The sequence below is a fragment of the Homo sapiens genome, chromosome X (assembly GCF_000001405.40).
Source record: "Homo sapiens chromosome X, GRCh38.p14 Primary Assembly".
In the NCBI taxonomy this organism is placed as follows: domain Eukaryota; kingdom Metazoa; phylum Chordata; class Mammalia; order Primates; family Hominidae; genus Homo; species Homo sapiens.
Window position 1 is genome coordinate 52,670,536 of NC_000023.11, and position 20,878 is coordinate 52,691,413.

The 20,878-nt window shown below is 43.8% G+C and overlaps 2 pseudogenes; one reads left to right on the forward strand and one right to left on the reverse strand.

The window, feature by feature from the left end:
- SSX15P (SSX family member 15, pseudogene) lies at positions 1,987 to 8,046 on the forward strand (annotated as a pseudogene).
- On the reverse strand, positions 16,761 to 17,123 carry S100A11P10 (S100A11 pseudogene 10; annotated as a pseudogene).
- Positions 17,124 to 20,878: the final 3,755 nt, after the last annotated feature.

Below are 20,878 nucleotides of genomic sequence, written 5' to 3' on the forward strand. Positions count from 1 at the left end.
GGGGTTGCAGTGAGCCATGATTGTGCTATGGAACTCTAGCCTGGGCACCAGAGTGAGGCCCTGTCTAAAATAAAACAAAATTTAATGCTAGTGCCTTTTACCATTCTACCGTTCTATCATTCATAAACATCTGTATACATTCCCTGAACACCGAAATAACTTCTCTTTTTTTTCCTGTCCCTCCTCCCATCTTCCATGTTTATAATACCTGGAATTTTATTTCAAGACTATAATTTTTTAAGTTTACAATCAAAAGTTTACACTTTTTAATAAATTTTACTGGTTTTCTTCTCATCATTGCTTGTTAAAATCACCTCCTTCCTCTTAAATTTACTTTTCTCTTCTCATAGACCTGTATACCAACAATGATTTCTGAAGGGTATATGTGTCATGAATTTTCTGAAATATTTTCTCCCTCATTCTGGATTATCCTGGCTGTATATAGATATCTAGGTTCAACTTTTTTGTTTGTTTTTGTCTTGTTTTGTTTTAATTTTTGAGACAGTGTCTGGCTCTGTCACCCAGGCTGGAATGCAGTGGCACCATCTCGGCTCACAGCAATTTCCACCTCCCGGACTCAAGTGATTCTCCTGTCTCAGCCTCCCAAGTAGCTGGGACTACAGGCACGTGGCACCACACCTGGCTACTTGTTGTATTTTTTGTAGAGATGGGTTTTGCCTTGTTGGCCAGGCTGGTCTCAATTTCCTGAGTTCAAGCTGTCCTCCCATCTTGGCCTACCAAAGTGCTGGGACTACAGGCGTGAGCCACTGTGCCTGGCCCAAAGTTATTTTTAATCAGCTCCTTGAAAAACGTCTCCATTGCATTCTCTTTTCTCTCTTTCTCTCTGGGGCCTTTCAGGATTTTATCTTTATCCTAGAAATTTTACCCCTAGGGAGTGTGTGCGTATATGTGTGAGTGTGTGTGTGTGTGTGTGTGCGCGCGCCTGTGTGTTAATCAGGTTCAGAACTAGGTGACTTTTTTCAGTTTGAAGATTCATGTGTTTGTTCAGTTGAGAAAATTCTAGAACATTATTTCTTCAAGTACCGCCTTCTCTACAGTCTTTCTATTCTTTTTTTTTTTTTTTTTTTCCTTTTCGAGTCGGAGTTTTGCTCTGTCATCCAGGCTGGAGTGCAGTGGCACAATCTCAGCTCACTGCAACCTCTGCCTCCCGGGTTCAAGTGATTCTCCTGCCTCAGGCTTCCACATAGTTGGGATTTCAGGCGCCCACCACCACACCGGGCTAATTTTTGTATTTTCAGTAGAGACGGGGTTTCGCCATGTTGGCCAGTCTGGTCTCAAACTCCTGACCTTAGGTGATGGGCCTGCCTCAGCCTCCAAAGGGCTGGGATTACAAGCGTGAGCCACGGCGCCTGGTCCAGTCTTTCTGTTCTCTACCTCTGCAACTTCTATTGGATGAACGTTGAAACCTCTGGGCTCTATCCTCCATTTCCTTTATTATTTTCATTTCATACTTTCTATTTCATAATCCTTTTCTGCTATACGGTGAAGTAGTGCCATGCCTGAACACATTTTTTCATTGGGTTGTTCCAGTTTCTCTTACTGATATGCAAAAGCTTTGTTGTATATTAGAGATGGTTACTGTTAATTTATTGAGGATGCTTCACCAATTTCCCCAACATTTGCCTTTTTAAACAGTTTTGTGGTGTTTTTTGAATTAGATGATACTTTAATTTTTACATCGTTATGTCAGATTCATTGTTCATAGCCTTAGTGTAATATCAGGAAGTGCCTATGACACCTCCAGATGTCTTACACTGTAATATTTTCCTAAATTTTCATCTAGTTCTTTATGACTTCACATTTTCACGTTTAAGTAACTGATTTTTTAGAATTTATTATTTTATGTGGTTTAAAGTAAGGATTTAATCTTTATTTTTTCAAATAGATAGACACTTGTCAAGCAATAATTTATTATACAACCCATCATCTTTTGCCCACTGTTTGAAAATGCATGCTGAAATTTGCGTATAGATTAGTCTGTTTCTTGACTTTCTATTTTGTTTCACTAATAAATGTTTCTATGTGCATTCATTTTTTATTGCAGCTGTAACAAATTTTCAATAGCTTAGACAACGCTGGGCGCAGTGGCTCAGGCCTGTAATCCCAGCACTTTTTGGAAATCTTTACCAACAAAGAAAAATTCTGATGTATTCTCTTTCAGTTGAATGTCCTCAGATGACTTTCGGCAGACTCTAGAGAATCTTCCCGAAGGTGAGTATCTCTCAAATCTAAATGACCAGAGAACCTTTGTCCCTCCATGGATGCGAAAACTGGTAAGAGTGGGAGAATATCAAAAATGCCCTCACTGCCTCCTTTTTCCCATGTCTATCACAACACCTGATGTAGCATTGACGGCTTGATAACACTGACAGTTGTAATCCTTAACACTTCTTTTGTTTTCATAGTGATGCCAGATATTCTAAGCAGGTTACATGGATTAATTTATTTAATCCTTAAGAATACGTCTATGACGTTGTTTCTATTATTATCTCCAAATAATGTCTCATACATTTCAGTTGTCATCCACACAAAAGCCATGTGACTTGGCGCAAATCTTCTAAGTTCTCTGAGCTCCAGACTCCTGGGCCATGAAATGGAAGTAAAGAATCATAGTTCATGTTTTAGATCATAGTTATCAGCAAAATAATAATAACATGAGACTATCGTGGTACAGAGATGTTAGAGAATTTTCCTGAGGTGCAGTGGCAGTGGTAGTCTGATCCAGAGCTCCAAGCCATTTAAAGCTCATTCACGTTTGCATTTGTTTATGAAGTTCAGATGTTGCTCACTAGGGCTTTACCCCATAGGGCCTGCTGGTGCTTCCAAGGAGACACCCACTCTCGCAACAGGAAGGACCAGCTGGCTTCTGATCCGTTACTGGGGCCACTCGCATGGCTTAGGAATAGGTTTGACTGTGGGCCCCTCCCTACTGTGAGCTCCTTGAGGGCTTTCTCTACACCTGGTGCATCCGAGAAACCCCAGTCCCAGCCCAGGGGTTTCCTTGGAGGCCCCTGAACGAGTGACTCCACAACTACATATTCAATTCCGGTTTAGAGGGTAAAGGGATCTGGGATTGGGTTGCCAGTATGGAGGACAAATTCAAAGAAGGATCATGAAAGGTATTAATTGTTATTATTACTACATTTAAACAGTGTTTATAAGCTCAGAGAGGACTTTCCCTTAGCCTATTTTACATGTATTGTTCACTATTTCATAAGTGAGGAAGCTGAATAAATGTAGCTTAAGACTGTTGGTCAGTGACCCATCCCAGTGCAACCAGAATTGATATGGGTACCACCTCACTGAATTCCACATTCAATGTTGGTGCCTCGGTAGGCTGGTATGCCAGATCTGGTACTGCTTTCTTTGCTGCCTGGATTAATTTCAGCAAACCATTTCTTTCCCTCTCCCTTCCCTGTATTCCTCTCCCCACACCATCTTTCCCAGCAGTGTTTCGTCCCCTCCCTATGTTTTTACATTTACCCTCCCAGCAGCTGTCTACGAGCTTATATGGGATCCCTTGTATTTTATAGAAGCTCTTCCTTTTGCAGACCTGTGAATTCTTAGAATGCTATGCTCCAAATCTTCTGTATATCACACTCTCAATTACATGGAGATTTTTGCTGTTTGCAAGAATGTCAGTCCTAAAAGAGTGGGAAGATAAGCATTCTATCCCTGGAAACCCCATTCATGTAGGCCAATCCTTTCCCTTCTAACCTCCCCTCCCAGGTTTCTCCTAATTTAGGCAAGTGTAACTCTCCCAGCTTTGTTGAGAACATTGATTAAGGTAATGCATGCGAAGACGCTTTGTAAGCTCTAAAGCACTATAGAAATGGCACTGATTCTGTTTATCTGTGACCTTCACATTATAAAGATCATGCCCAAGAAGCCAGCAGAGGAAGGAAATGATTAGAAGGGAGTGCCAGAAGCATCTGCCCCACAAAACGATCCGAAGCAGCTGTGCCCACCCAGGAAAAGCAAATACCTCTAGAAGATTCACAAGAGATCTGGTAAGAGGAAACAATTCGGGAACAAACCCTCTGGCTTTCCTGGCTATGTTCAGGTGTGTGGATTGGGTGTGTGGCACGGACCCCAGACAAGCCTGGGTCCCGGCTGAGCTGAGGAGCTTGCCCAGCGCCAGAAGAGATGTTAGACATGACTTCCAGAGACACAGAGTGGAGTTGTCATCCATATACAACCACGTGACTTGGGGCAAGTCTTCCAAATTTTCTCAGCTCCAGATTCCCAGTCCATACGATGGAAGTAAAGAATCATAGTTCACAAATTGTTTGGAGACATTATATTTAGTCTAGAAGGCCTGATGACATGAAAGGTGCTCAAGCAATTCTATCTGTAATTAATTACCTGGGATCATGTCTTACGCAGCTCAATGCCTGATACCCAATCAGTTGTACTTCAGAGATATTGCAGGTTCGGTTCCAGACCACTGCAATAAAGTGAGTCACACATTTTTTTTGTTATTGTCGTTTCGCAGTGCATAAAAACATTACGTTTTCACTATAGTGTACTCTACTAAGTGTGCAATAGCATTGTCTAAAAATGTACATACCTTAATTTTAAAATAATTCATTGATAAAAAATGCTAACAATCTTCTGAGCCTTCAGTGAGTCACACTCTTTTTGCTGGTGGAGGGTCTTGCCTTGGTGTTAATGGCTGCTGGCTGATCAAGGTGGTGGTTGCTGAAGATTGGAGTGGCTGTGGCAGTTTCTTAAAAGAACACAACGGTGAAATTTGCCACATTGATTAGCTCTCCCTTTCATGAAAGATTTCCCTGTAGTGTGTGATGCTACTGGATAGCATTTTACCCACAGTAGAACTTCTTTCAAAGTTGGAGTCAATCCTCTCTAGCTATGAAAGTCCTAGATGGCATCTCCTTCCAATAGAAGGCTATTTTATCTACATTGAAAATCTGTTGTTTAGTGTAGCCACCTTCATCAGTGATCTTAGCTAGATCTCCTGGATAACTTGCTGCAGCTTCTCCATCAGGGTTTGCTGCTTCACCTTGCACTTTTATGTTATGGAGATGGCTTCTTTCCTTAAACCTCACGAACCAACTTCTACTAGCTTCACGTGTTTCTCCTGCAGCTTCTTCACCTCTCTCAGCTTTCATGGACGTGAAGAGAGTTCAGGTCTTTCTCTGAATTAGACTTTGGCTTAAGGGAATGTTGTGGCTGGTTTCATGTTCTGTCCTGACCACGCAATCTTCCTCTATTTCAGCAGTAAGGCTGCTTTACTTTCTTATTTGTGTGTTCACTGGAGTATTAGTATTATTATTTCCTTCAAGACCTTTCCTTTGCATTATATACTATTATTTCCTTCAAGAACTTTTCCTTTGCAATCACAGCTTGGCTGTTTGGTGGAAGAGGCCGAGCTTTCAGCCTGTCTTGGCTTTCAGCGTGCCTTCCTCACTAAGCTTAGCCATTTCTAGCTTGTGATTTAGAGTGAGAGACATGCGACTCTTCCCTTCCTTTGAACACTTAGTGGCCATTGTAGGGTTGTTCATTGTCCTAATTTCAGTATTGCTGTGTCTCAAGAAATAGGGAGGCCCAAGAAAAGGAAGGTAGGCAAGGAAGAGCTCATCGGTGGAGCAGTCAGAACACACACAACATTGATCAATTAAGTTTGTCATCTTCTGTGGGTGCAGTTCCTGTTACCCCTAAAACAATTACCCACAACAGGGTGATTATTGTCAGTAATAACCTAATTGCACATTTAAAAAAACTAACACAGTGTAAATGGATTGTTTGTAACACAAGGATAAATGGTTGAGGGGACGGATACCCTATTTGCCATGATGTGATTATTATGCATTGCATGCATGTATCAAAACATCTCACGTACCCCATAAGTATATAGACCTACTGCGTACCCACAAAAATAAAAAAAATTATTTTAAAAGACTAAAGAACAACAAAACAATCGCAATCATAATATCAAAGCTCACTGATCACAGATCACTATAACAGATATAATAATAATGGAAAAGTGTAAAATTGGTGAGAATTTCAAAAAAAAATTGCAGTATCTGCGAAGCAGGATAAAAATGAGGTGCCATAAAACAAGGTTTGCCTTGTGCCCTTAACAAATACGTGCAGCATGAAAGGAGGTATGGGTGAGTGTTCCCATAAGTGAAGAGGCTGGGAATCTAAACCTGACAACGGAAGGAGCCAGAAGCTAAAACTTTAATTGGTATTTGTGGTGTATTGGTGTGGATCTAAGGCCTCAGCCTCTCTAAGCCAGAGAATGTGAAAAACTGGATAAAGAAGGCCCATGGGCACTTGGTGGTGGGGAGGCATCTCCTTTTTTGAGAAAACAGAGCCTAACACTCTCCAACCCACCCAACCCTCACTTTCCAACTATTCTCCATCATAGGACCCAAAAGGGGGAAACATGCCTGGACCCACAGACTGCGTGAGAGAAAGCAGCTGGTGATTTATGAAGAGATCAGCGACCCTGAGGAAGATGACGAGTAACTCCGTAAGTGAACCTTCCGCTCATCCCCCACATCCCTGCAGATGTGCTATTCTGTTATGATACTGGTATCCCATCTGTCACTTGCTCCCCAAATCATTCCCTTTTCTAGGGTACAGCATTGAGGCTGAATGATGAGATTTCCCATTCTCTTTCTTTCTTTCTTTCTTTCTTTCTTTCTTTTTTTTTTTGGAGGGATTCTTGCTCTGTCGCCCAGGCTGGATGTGGTGGCCCGATTTCGCCTCACTGCAACTTCCGCATCCCGGTTCAAGCAATTTTCTTGCCTCAGCAACCTGAGTAGCTGGGATTACACGTGTGCACCCCACACACCCGGCTAATTTTTGTATTTTTAGTAGAGATGAACTTTCACCATGTTGGTCAGGCTGGTCTCGAACTCCTGACCTCGGGATCCACCTGCCTCGGTCTCCCAAAGTGCTGGGTTTACAGGCGTGAGCCACCGCACCCGGCCGATTTCCCATGCTCTTTCTACTCTCTACCCTGTATATCCAGGGATGCTCCCTACCCAGGATGCTGTGGGTTCCCAAACCCCAGGTCAGCCCTGATATGCGGGCCACACCTTCCTCTAGCCTAGGAATGGATCACCCAGGCGAAGAAGTCACTGTGGCATGAACAGATGGTTCACTTCGAGGAACCGTGGAAGGCGTGTGCAGGTCCTGAGGTAGGACAGAATCAGAGTGTGCAGGGTCTGCAGGTCAGGAGGAGTTGAGGTTGAGTTGTCACGTGGTGGGAACTCACTGCCACTTACTTTCCTTCTCTCTTCTTGCCTCAGCCTCGGGGATACGACACATGCCCATGATGAGAAGCAGAACGTGGTGACCTTTCATGAACACGGGCATGGCTGTGGACCCCTCGTCATCAGGTGCATAGCAAGTGAAAGCAAGTGTTCACAACAGTGAAAAGTTGAGCGTCATTTTTCTTAGTGTGCCAAGAGTTCGATGTTAGAGTTTACGTTGTACTTTCTTACAGTGTGCCATTCTGTTAGATATTAACATTTTCACTGATCAGCAAGACATACTTAATGCATATTTCGGTTTGTGTATCCATGCACCTACCTTAGAAAACAAGTATAGTCAGGTATTCTCTCCATAGAACAGCACTACCCTCCTCTCTCCCCAGATGTGACTGCTGAGGGGAGGTCTGAGTGTTTAATTTCAGATTTTTTCCTCTGCATTTACACCACACACACACACACACACACACACACACACACAAACACCAAGTAACACTATAAGCATCTCCCATCTGCTTGTACTCCCCTCATCCGATTCCCCTCTATCAGTCACTGACAGTTAATAAACATTTGCAAACGTTCCCCAGTTGTTTGCTCCTCTCATTATTGTGCACACAGCTCTCTGCATGTGTATGAATATTTCTTTAGGAAAGATTCTTAGAAGTGGAATTGCTGTGTCAAACGAGTCACTTATTCAACAAAAAACTAATGAGTGCATACTCATGCTGAGCGCTGTTCTAGGTGCTGGAGAGACACCAGGGAACAAGGCAGACAGATGTTTCTGACCCCCATTCTAGAGGAAGATGTTTCCCGTTGTTGGGTTTCTTGGTTTGTTTGTTTGTTTCTTCTAGAGATGGGGTCTTGCTCTATCCAGGCTAGAGTGCAGTGGCATGATCATAGCTCAATGCAGCCTTGAACTCCTGGGCTCAAGTGATCCTCCCACAGCAGCCTCCAGAGTAGCTGTGACTACAGGCATGCGCCATCACGCCCCACTGATTTTTTTAGGTTTTGTCTAGAGAGTCTCACTATGTTACCCAGGCTGGTCTCCACCTCCTGGGTTCAGGCAATCCTCTCACCTTGGCCTCCTAATATATTGGGATTACAGGCGTAAGCCACCGCACCTGGCCTCCAGTTTTTATTTTGATAGAGACTATACACTTCAGTCCTGGAGCAGGATTCTGCAGCAGGTGTTTGGGCATCTTGGCCTTCGCTCTCTGAACCATTTTCGGGTTCTAGGGCTGGGACGGTCCATTTGGGAGTATGTAGGAGGAGACACAGATGAAATCGTCATCTGGGGAACGCAGAGGGATGAGGAAGATGCGTGCACTGTAGACCCTGTGATGCACAGGGAATAGAAGAGTCCACTTAGTCTCCATGCAAAGGAGCAACGGTGGGAAAGTCTCCTGGACAGGAGCGTGAGACTGCCCATCAAGGATCTCACCAACCAAGGGCCTGGGGGCTGGGGTGGGGACGATGATTTGGGAATGGGACAGTTCTTTCTCACATATACCACTGCACGGTGCGGAGGTGGAACAGTTGTGGGGAAGGAAGGGCAGAGGGGAGTATGTTTTAGAACAAACCAGTGTGTGTGAATGAAGACATTAAACCTCCATTCACACACAACAGACTTGAAACACCAGCCCCGGGTGGAGGCAGGACTGGAGCTCTTTTGACCATTCATACCCCATCACCTTGGCCTCCTGGTTCTCCCCAGCCTTGGAAGGAGGACACTATCATCATTATGCCTATATGATAGATGAGAGAGGGAGTCCCAGACAGATGGTAGGCATCTTGTCACAGGTCCTACAGCTGGCAGGTGCAGGAGGGGCTGAGTTTGGAGTTCATTGACTCTAGAAATATTAAGGAGGAAAGGTGTGTGTGGTGGAGGGAGGGAGAATTGAACAAACTCCAGGTTCTGTCCCCAGTCGCAAGGTAGAGGTTGTGGGTTCATTTTCCAAGACAGGGAGCCCTTAGAGATGGAGAGTGCAGGGAGGAAGAGGCAATCGTGGACATAGTGGGGACAGTGGGAGACAGAGATGTGCAGCCTGGGCAGAAGAGAGGCAGGCAAAGAAGCAGGGGATACCCAAGACCAAGTGTGGGCTGTCACAGCCACCAGAGGGAGAGGGTGCCAGGAAGGAGGTTGTGGGCCTCCAGGAGCAAGAGGTTCCCTAGATCTGTGAGCATGCCCTGCCTGGCACTGCAGGAAGAGATGGCTGCCACCCAGGTCAGTGTGGACATACCTCTACCTGTGTCTCAGAGGAAACAAATTCTATTTTATCCCAATATAGTTCTGTATTACACAAATGTAACATTCCAATACTAGATATTGAGTGCCTTACCCTCCATGCAAATAGAGGAGAGGATACCCTAAAGGAGATACCGAAGGATTTGATTTTTCTTTCTCCCTGGGAAGATGGGATCCATAAGTTGAGTCCCCCAGCCCACAAGACAGGTGCAAAGAAGGGTGGCTGGAAGATTGTGAGTCATGACAGGGAACATTTTTCGTTAGGTTCCATGGGTATATAAAACTCCCGACTATCTGTCTATCAGGGATAAAGAGTGAACATGGTCCCCTCTCCACAAATGTGTTTCTCTCCTTCACTATTACAGTGAAGGTCTGAAGTTCCGTCAAGTTCTGATACATTACTTTTATTATTATTATTTGTTTTTTTCTTTCCTTTTTTTTTTGAGACAGAATGTCACTCTGTCACCCAGGCTGGAGCGCAGTGGCGAGATCTCCCACTGCACTTCCAAGTTCGAAGGAATGTTGGGTAGGGTACGGGATCTATCTGCCATCTTGCTTCAATCATCTGGTTTTAGATATTTTATGTACTTTTGTCACTATATATGTGTAATTTTTCTCAATTTGGATTTCTAAATGGTTATTATTGGTATGTAGAAAAGCTATCTATTACTGTATATAATAATTTGTTACCTGTCTGGGTGCAGCTTCCCCTGCATTTTGGCACAAGACTCAATCTGTTTTATTCTCAAAAAAAAAAAAAAAACAAACAAAAACAAAACAAAACAAAACAAAACCTGATAGCCTGGGTGCGGTGGCTCATGCCTGTCATCCCAGCACTTTGGTAGGCCGAGGTGTGTAGATCACCTGAGGTCAGGAGTTCGAGACCAGGGTGGCCAAGATGGTGAAACCGCATCTCTTCTAAAAATACAAAATAAAAAAAAAATTAGCCACGCCTGGTGGCGCACGCCTGTATTCCCAGCTACTAGGGCAGCTGAGACGGGAGGATCACTTGAACTCGGGAGGCAGAGATTGCAGTGAGCCAAGGTGGCACCACTGCACTCCAGGCTGGGCGACAGAGTTTCTATCTCTAAACAAAAAGAAAAAGAAAAAAAGAAAAATCACTTCACAGGCAATAGAGAGTTATAAAAGGATACTTTATGGAAGATTTCATAGAGAAGACTGATGGAAAGAAAGAAGTGTATATTTTACAGAGCTGAGCAGTTCACAGCAAAAATCACCAGAACTGCCTTTTTCTCCAAAATTATTACCCCTAAGCTATTCTACTACTGGTTCTTCTAGTCCTTCCCTCTATTCCAAATCCTCAAATTGTCCATTTTCTTATTGCAATAATTTTCCTCTGCCCAGATCTAGGTCCTCCACAACACTTAGCACTCTCTTCGAGTGTTTGCATGCCCATTGTTTTAGCTCAGGTTCCCAAGGAAACAGAATTTGGGCCATTCCGGACACCTCTAGACAGACTATACCGAGAAACCATGCCTGGAACGGTGCAGGGGGAGAGGAGAGGAGAGGGAATTTACATACCTGGCTCTCACTCCTGGTTCCTTTTCTTAACGGTCAAAATTTATCCCACAGGCACGAGCTCCCCTACACTTCTAGATTGCATCATCTGCCCCCTTGGCAGCTGTCTGGGAAGCCAGATCCCACACTTGGAAGTGTAGTTTTTTCATACAATCCAAAAGTGGTAGCAGAGGCCAGGTGTGGTGGCTCACGCCTGTAATTCCAGCACTTTGGGAGGCCGATGCAGGCAGATCGTGAGGTCAGGAGCTCGAGACCAGCCTCGATAGCATGGTGAAACCCCGTCTATACTAAAAGTACAGATTTAGCTGGGCATGGTGACGTGCACCCGTAATCCCAGATACTCCGGAGGCAGAGGTGGGAGAATCGCTTGACCTCGAGAGGCAGAGGTTGCACTGAGCTGAGATCTCACCATTATACTCCAGCCTGGAGGACAGAGCGAGACTCAATCTCAAAAACAAAACAAAACAAACAAACAAACAAACAAACACAAAAGTGGTAGCAGAAGTCAGAAAGTCCAGGTATGTAGCTACTTTGCCTAGTTGTAAAGCAGCAGCCAAGGGTGAAAACTGAATACTCCCAGGCAAGTCCTAAGTTCACCGAGTAACTGGAGTACCCATCTGTGTTAGTTAATTGCCTTTATCTGAAGGAAAAGTAAAACTCATGTCTCTGTGACAACCAGGTGCTTACAGCTTGGAGCGAGGCACCTAGGCTAAACTCCTCTGGTGACAGGGAGACAAGGACATCATCTTCCTCAATGTTCACATTTCAAAGAGATGGCTCCAAGGCCCTGAAGAAAGACATTCCTAGGGGATGGGCGTGGTGGCTCACGCCTGTAATCCCAACACTTTGGGAGGCTGAGGCTGGAGGATCACTTGAGGCCTGGAGTTCAAGTTCAAGACATTCCTGGGTTCTAGGATGGCCAGAGGCTTACAGATCAAAGGAAGAATTTACAAATACAAATTTTCTCAAGAAAATGCTCTAAGGAAAGTGAAATGGGGAAAGGTCTCTTCTTCCCTTTTGGCAACAGGAAAAATTCAATTTTATGTTTAGTTACCCTTACAATATCCCCCTTTTGTTATTGTTTTATAGGAACACTGCAATTTTCTAATTATCTCCACTGCTGTTTCTATCTTTCTCTGTGTGGTTTACAGCCACCTAGATATCCAACAAGTCCATAGTAAGATGCAAAGCAAAGCAATTATCAGGATTATAATAGAATGATTTTTTTTTTCAGGACAGAGTTTCGCTCTTGTTGCCCAGGCTGGAGTGCAGTGGTGCGATGTCGGCTCACTGCAACCTCTGTCTCCTGAGTTCAAGCGATTCTCCTGCCTCAGCCTCCCGAGTAGCTGGGATTACAGGCATGTGCCACCACGCCCAGCTAATTTGGTATTTTTTGTAGATATGCGGTTTCACCATTTTAGCCAGGCTGGTCTTGAACTCCTTACCCCAGGTGATCCGCCCACCTCGGCCTCCCAAAGTATTAGGATTACAAACGTGAGCCACCATGCCCTGCCTAGAAAGAATTCTTAAATTCAGTATAATACTCCCCTTGTTTGGGCGGCGGGACCTTTAAACACATCATACTGGTTAATTGTGTCAAAGTCAAAATAAATTATAGAGACAAATCCCTAAATCAAATGCTGTATTTGGGAATCACAAAATTGCAATCCAGGGCATATACAAGGACTAGGGTGGTCTTCAGTGTGTCCAACGAACAAACAGAAGTTGGAAATTTTATTAGAAAGAAAAATGTTACATATTGTTTTGAAATGAGGCTCATTGGCCCTGGAGAAGCTGGTTCATTCGCACAATCAGCTTTCACATTCCCTCTTTTGATCAACATCTTTGTTTGAAAACCTCACTGATTAGCCATCTTAAAGTGAGGCTTCACTGTCACTCCATGCCAGGATGGACGTGGGCCGGTTGTCTTTGTCCCATGTCAAGGGAAAGGTAAGGGAGTCTAGATCAGGGACATGGGCCATATTTGAGCCACAAAGAGGCCAGAAGGAAAAAAAAAAATTCAGGCAGGTTTGTCTGGAGTTCAGCATCAAATTCCATCTTGTTAGTCCCATCTATATTAGCATTCATCTTGAAGCACTAGGCCAACATTTTCCTGTTGGTAGAACTGGCTTAACAAATATTAGACAGGCAACAAGAATGGAGCTCAAAGATCATAATACAAAAGTAATTAGCTATCGTTATTTTATTTTATTATTTTATTTTATTTTATTTTATTGCAACGCGGTCTTGCTCTGTCACCCAGGCTGGAGTGCAGTGGCGTGATCCCGGCTCACTGCAACCTCCACCTCCTGGGTTCAAGCGAATCTCCTGCCTCAGCCTCTCGAGTAGCTTGGATTACAAGTGCTCACCACCACGCCCGGCTAATTTCTGTCTTTTCAGTAGAGACGGGGTTTCATCATGTTGGCCAGGCTGGTCTCGAACTCCTGACCTCAAGTGATCCGCCCTCCTTGGCATCCCAAAGTGCTGGGACGGTAGGCGCGAGCCACCGCACCCAGCTATAATTAGCAATAGTAGAATAAATTTAGTTTGTACAATGATTTTGAACTAAGATCCCAAGCCTAAGGGCCACCAGCTAAACAAATCAAAAGACTATGGGGGAATTGAATGAGACCTCTTATAGTCTTTGAGTAGCATTTGAGGACTGGGTTGAATTAAAGCAGAGTGCCAACTCTATAAAAGGGACCACTCTATAAAAAGGATTCACTAGGTGAATCAAAGGATTTGGGAGTCATGGTCTGCCAAGTGAAAAATGTAGACATTAAGGGGATAAGAGTCTCATTATGATATGAAGACTTATTCTGATATCTTGGGAAAAGCTGTCTACAATGTGGAATCGTCAGCTTCTCATCCTGATTTGTCGTTCGAATGTCTCTGGTTATGGCATTCGACAGTTTGGTGAACTTTTTGTGTGGTCCATGCATCAGACACGAGACTTGTTCCTTAAAATGTATGCAGTTTGGCTAGGTGCAGTGGTTCATGCCTGTAATCCCAGCATTTTGGGAGGCTGAGGTGGGCAGATCACAAGGTCAGGAGATAGAGACCATCCTGGGTAACTCGGTGAAACCCCGCCTCTACTAAAAATACAAAAAATTAGCCGGGGATGTTGTCACGTGCCTGTAGTCCCAGCTACTCGAGAGGTTTGGGCAGGAGAATCTCTTGAACCCGGGAAGCGGAGGTTGCAGTGAGCCGAGATCTCACCACTGCACTCCAGCCTTGGCAACAGTGTGAGACTCCATCTCAAAAAAAAAAAAAATTATGCAGTTTTTGTCTTAGAGTATTTGTAAACCAAAAATAGCATCCTAAGCACCCCCACCCTTAACCATCTGAATGGACGTCCTCCTCAGCCAGAGCTCTTTTAAAATTAAGCTGGGAGACTGTTTTAGGCCATGACAGGACTTGTGGGTCAGACATGCCTCATTATACCTCTCTGGCATCAATATCAACACAGACTTAAATCTCATAAGAAACATGTTACAACCTAGTCTCTCTGAAGTCTAGTACCTGAAGGTTTCCTCTGCAAATAAGAACTTGGGTCACCACAATCCTTTATCTCAACCCAGGCATTCCTTTCTGTTGATCCTAGGCATTTTTGTTTGTTTGTTTGTTTGTTTGTTTTTGCTTTGAGACAGAGTCTAGATCTGTTGCCCAGGCTGGAGTATAATGGTGCATTCTCTGCCAACTGTAACCTCTGCCACCCGGATTCAAGCAATTCTCCTGTCTCAGTCTACCCAGTAGTTGGGGTTACAGGCACCCGCCATCACATCCAGCTAATTTTTTTGTATTTTTAGTAGAGACGGGGTTTCACCATGTTGGCCAGGCTGGTCTCCATCTCCTCACCTCAGGTGATTCATCTGCCTCAGCCTCCCAAAGTGCTGGGATTATAGGCACGAGCCACCAGGCCTGGCCGATCCTAGGTTTTTAGAAAACCCAACCAATTGTCAACTAGAAAATTTTTTAATCTACCTGTAAGCTGGAAGCCCCTGCTTCGAGTTGTCCTGCCTTTCTGGACCAAACCAATGTATTTCTTAAATGTATTTGATTGAGTCTCCATAAAATCTGTAAAACCAAGCTGCACCCCAACCTCCTTGGGCAACTCAGGACCTCCTGAGGCTGTGTCATGGGCCATGGTCGCTCCTATTTGGCTCAGAATAAGTCTCTTCAAGTGTTTTCCAGAGTTTGACTCTTTTCATCAGCAGGCTTCAGGAACAGAGCAGTTTCTGTTTTTAGTAATTTTATGGGAAAAAGTTGGATCTAGTCTAGTCTGTATGTAGATAACAAGAACTCGGCCAGGCGCAGTGGCTCAGGCCTGTATTCCCACCACTTTGGGAGGCCGAGGCGGGCGGATCACGCGGTCAAGAGATTGAGACCATCCTGGCCAACATGGTGAAACACCGTCTCTACTGAAAATACAAAAATTAGCCGGGCGTGGTGGCATGCACCTGTAGTCCCAGCTACTCGGGAGGCTGAGGCAGGAGAATCGCTTGAATGCGGGAGGCAGAGGTTGCAGTGAGCCGAGATCCCGCCACTGCACTCCAGCCTGGTGACAGAGCGAGACTCTGTCTCAAAAACAACAACAACAACACAAAAAGAAAAAAAACACAAGAACTCGAAAAAATGCAGAGAGCTACAATCTAATAACTGGTCTATTAGAGCTTTTCTTTAGCAACATAATTTTTCTCTATACATTGATCACTTAGGAATCTCAGATTTAAAAACCTCTTGAGCATAGAAAGTCAAACCAAGGCCGACTTTAGATTTCACCTACCTTCTTAAGGTTCCTGGGCCTGACAGAAAGTGACCGTTTTTATTCACCCACTCTAAAGCTAAAAACACTTGAAGTCAGGCATTCCATGCATTTTGATGAAAGCCTTGGTAATATAACCAATTTTTTTTTCTTTTTGAGACAGTCTTGCTCTGTCACCCAGACTGCTGAGATCTCAGCTCGCTGCAGCCTCCACCTCCTGGTTTCAAGCAATTCTCCTGCTTCAGCCTCCTGAGTAGCTAGGATTACACATGTACACCACCATGCCCTACTACATTTTTTCTTTATAATTTTTAGTAGAGATGTGGTTTCCCCATGTTGGCCAGGCTGGTCTCAAACTCCCGATCTCAGGTGATCCACCCACCTCAGCCTCCCAAAGTGCTGGGATTACAGGTGTGAGTCACCATGCCCGGCCTTATAACCAATGTTTTTAATTGTATCTGTCTATAAAGAGAGAGCAGATTTTTTTGTGTGTGTTTAGAAAAAAGGTGGGTCAGGTGCAATGGCTCACACCTAAAATCCCAGAGCTTTGGGAGGCCACTTGAGCCCAGAAGTTCAAGATCAACCTGGGCAACATAACTAGACCCCCATTGCTAAAAAAAAAAAAAAAAAAAAAAAAAAAAAAAAAAAAGAAAAAGAAAAAAAAAAGGAAAGATGGAAAAGAGAAAAGAAGTATGGTTTTATAACTACCTGCAGGTAGGGCCTGCATGAGGTGGTGGGTGTACTTGAGAGAAGAGAAGAGGAACGGAGGAGAGGAGAGGGGAGGGGAGGAAAGGGGGGGAGAAGGGCGAGGGGAGGGGGAGGAAGGGGACAGGGGAGGGGGAGCGGTGGAGCGGCACGGAGGCGGGAATGGTTTTATTACTACCTGCAGGCAGGGCCTGCATGAGGTGGTGGGTGTGCTGGGCCCAGGGTACGTGTGGGCTGTGAGGAGATGGTGATGGTGAGGCTGGAAGGAAAGGGGGTGGCTTGGAAACCAGGCCCAGGGGATCCTCAGATCCGCTTCTTGGAATGGGCAGCCTTGAGAAAAGAGTCATGGTAAGCCACAGTCATGCCATCCATCAGATGCAGACATTCTTGGAAATCCAGCTGCCCATCACTAGTGAGGTCCAGTTTCTTCATCATGTGGTCAAAGACACTGGGGGCCTCTGGTTCTTCATGAAGGCATCCAGTTCTGTATTCATGAAGCTTGGGAACTCCATCTTGGAGTGAATGCTATCGTAACCATCCTTTCCAGCCTATTTCTGGAAAATAGCAATCAGGGACTCTCTGTAGGGCTGGAGACTTTTGCCATGTTGGAGTTGAATGAGGCACCAAGAGCAGGTTTTTACTGGACCTGTGTAAATAACCATATTGCCATAGGAATATTTACAAATAGTTTTCAAATTCTGGAGGAATTGAGTAGTAAGAAAAAGCAAACATTTCCATCTCAGTTTACAAAAGTATACTTCACAAAATTATTATAAACTATAGATAGTTTAACAGAGAAAATTTTCTCTTTTTTTTTTCATTTTTTTGAGAAAGGATTGCGCCCCGTCGCCCAGGCTGGAGTGCAGTGGTGCAAACACGGCTCCCTGCAACCTCTGCGTCCCGACTCAAGTGATCCTCCCACCTCGGCCTTGCAAGTAGCTGGGACCACAGGTGCGTGCCACCATGCCCAGCTAATCTTCTTATTTTTGTTTTTGTTTTTGTAGAGACAGGGTTTTGCCATGTTGCCCAATCGGGTCTGGAACTCCTGGGCTCAAGCGATCCTCCTGCCTTGGCTTCCAAAGTGAGCCACCACATCCCACCAGAAAATTTTCTTAAATGTGGAAAACAAAACATTTAGGTAAAAAACAAATAAAGTTTTATTTTCTTAATTTCTTTCAGAAACCAGGTCTCCTATATTTCCCAGGTTGGTCTTGAACTCCTGCACTCAAGGGATCCTCCTGTTCCAGCCTCCAAAAGTGCTGGGATCAGAGGTGTGAGCCACTGCACCCAGCCCAAGAATAAATAAAGTTTTAAATAAAGGTCACAAAAACATTATTGGTTATTTAGCCTCATATAATTAATGTTTGTTCTGCTTGATCTTGATAATCAGTTGCATGAACCCATCAGTTTTCGTTAGAGTTTTCAAAAATAATTCATTTCGTTCATTGATCTGAAAGTTATTACAAATCTATATTCAACAGTACTTGTTAAAATATTTTTTATGAATCTGATTCTGGATGCCTTTAGAGAAGAATCAGCACTGTAGATGATAAAGCTTAGAATAGTAACGATTAAAATCCGATGAAAGTTCAATAATTGACAAGGAAATTCAGTTATTTCTATTATAGAGAGAATTTTAAGATAACAACCAGAATCATGACTAACAGCATCACACCAGGACCATCAGACCTCTGTAAATTTTATATGATCTTCTGAACATTAACATCAATAATATATCTATATAAATGTAAACACCAATTAGTATTTTTTATTATCTGACATTGTTTTTCATATAATGTGACATATCAAATAAGCCTAATGAGAGACACATTCTTTGAGGCTCTCCAGGGGCCTCACTGGTAAATCTCAAAGTCAATTTTAGGTTAAAAAGACTTAAATTAGAATTTGATTAGTTTGTTCAACAGCAATAGATAAATTAAAAAAGAATTGCATTTTGGGGAAGTTTGTCAAAGATGTTAAAAGGCTCAAAACACTTGTGCAAAACAGGATCACGGGTCACTGTGAAATAATAGTCACTCATTTAACCAGAGTGATAGTCCACAGACTTCAAAAGCAATACAGAAAGTTACATGGACTTAAAAACTTACCCTTTCAAAGCTCAGTTTTCCTAAGCAAGAAGAAACCTAATCAGTAGGCTGGGCGTGTTGGCTCACGCCTGGAATCCCAGCACCTTGGGAGGCCGAGGCGGACAGATCACTTGAGGCCAGGAGTTCAAGACCAGGCTGAGCGACATGGCAAAACCCCTTTTCTACTAAAAGGACAAAATATTAGCTGGGTGTCGTGGCCCACGCCTGTGGTCCCAGCTACAGGAGGCAAAAGAATTGCTTGAACCTGGGAGACAAAGGTTGCAGTGAGCCAAGATCCCGCCCATTGCATTCCAGCCTGGGCGACAGAGAGAGACTCCATCTCAAAACAAAACCCTAGGATCAACAGAAAGGAATGCCTGGGTTAAGATAAAGGATTGTGGAGACCCAAGTTCTTATTTGCAGAGGAAGCCTTCAGGTACTAGGCTTCAGAGAGACTAGGTTGTAACATGTTTCTTATTAGACTGAAAGTCTGTGTTGATGTTGATGCCAGAGAGGTATAATGAGGCATGCCTGACCCCCACTTCCTGTCATGGCCTGAAACCATCTCTCAGGTTAAATTTTAAAAGAGCCCTGGCTGAGGAAGAAGTCCATTCAAATGGTTGCGGGTTGGCGGGGGATAGGATTTTATTTTTGATCTACAAGTTCTGTAAGATAACAGTGCATACATTTTAAGGAACAAGTCTGCTGCCTGATGTATGGACCACACAAAAAGTTCACCAAACTGTCCAATGCCATAACCGGAGACATTCGAACGACAAATCAGGATGAGAAGTTGACGTTTCCACACTATAGACAGCTTTTCCCAAGACGTCAGAATAAGTCTTCATATCGTAATGAGACTCTTACCCCCTGAATGTCTACATTTTTCACTTGACAGAACCCGACGCCCAAATCCTTTACCTCACCTAGTGGTCCCTTTAGAGTTGGCACTCTGCTTTAATTCGACCCAGTCCTCAAATGCTACTCAAAGACTACAAGAGGTCTCATTCAATTCCCCCATAGCTTTTTGATTTGTTTAGCTGGTGGCCCTTAGGCTTGGGATCTTGGTTCAAAACCATTGTACAAACTAAATTTATTCTACTGTTGCTAATTATAGCTGGGTGTGGTGGCTCACGCCTGTAATCCCAGCACTTTGGGATGCCAAGGAGGGGGGATCATTTGAGGTCAGGAGTTCGAGACCAGCCTGGCCAACATGGTGAAACCCCATCTCTACTGAAAAGACAAAAATAAGCCAGTCATGTTGATGGGCACCTGTAATCCCAGCTACTGGGGAGGCTGAGGCAGGAGAATCGCTTGAACCCGGGAGATGTAGGTTACAGTGAGCCGGGATCACGCCACTGCACTTCAGCCTGGGCGACAGAGCAAGAATCCATTGCAATAAAATAAAATAAAATAAAGTAAAATAATAAAATAAATAAAATAAAATAAACAATTGCTAATTATTTTAGAATTATGATCTTTGAGCTCCATACTTGTTGCCTAATATTTGTTAAGCCAGTTCTCCCAAGAAAATAATGTTAGCCCAGTGCGTCAAGATGTTTGCTAATATAGATGCGACTAACAAGATGGAACTTGATGCTGAACTCCAGGCAAACCTGCCTGAAATTTTTTTTCCTTCTGTCCTCTTTGTTGCTCAAATATGGCCCATGTCCCTGATCTAGACTCCCTTACCTTTCCCTTGGCATGGGATAAAGACAACCGGCACAGGTCCATCCTGGCATGGAGTGACAATGAAGCCTCACTTTAAGATGGCTGATCGGTGAGGTTTTGAAAGAAAGATGTTGATCAAAAGAGGGAATGTGAAAGCTGATTGTGCGAATGAACCAGCTTCTCCAGGGCCAATGAGCCTCATTTCAAAACAATATGTAACATTTTTCTTTCTAATAAAGCTTCCAACTTCTGTTTGCTCGTTGGACATACTGAAGACCACCCTAGTCTGTGTGTATGCCCTGAATTGCAATTTTGTGATTCCCAAATACAGCATTTGATTTAGGGATTTGTCTCTATAATTTATTTTGACTTTGACACAATTAACCAGTATGATGTGCTTAAAGGTTGCCCCACCCCCTGACAGGGTGAGTATTATACTGAATTTAAAAATTCTTTCTAGGCAGGGCATGGTGGCTCACATCTGTAATCCTAACACTTTGGGAAGCCGAGGTGGGTGGATCACCTAGGGTGAGGAGTTGAAGACCAGCCTGGCTAAAATGGTGAAATCCCATCTCTAAAAAAATACCAAATTAGCTGGGCG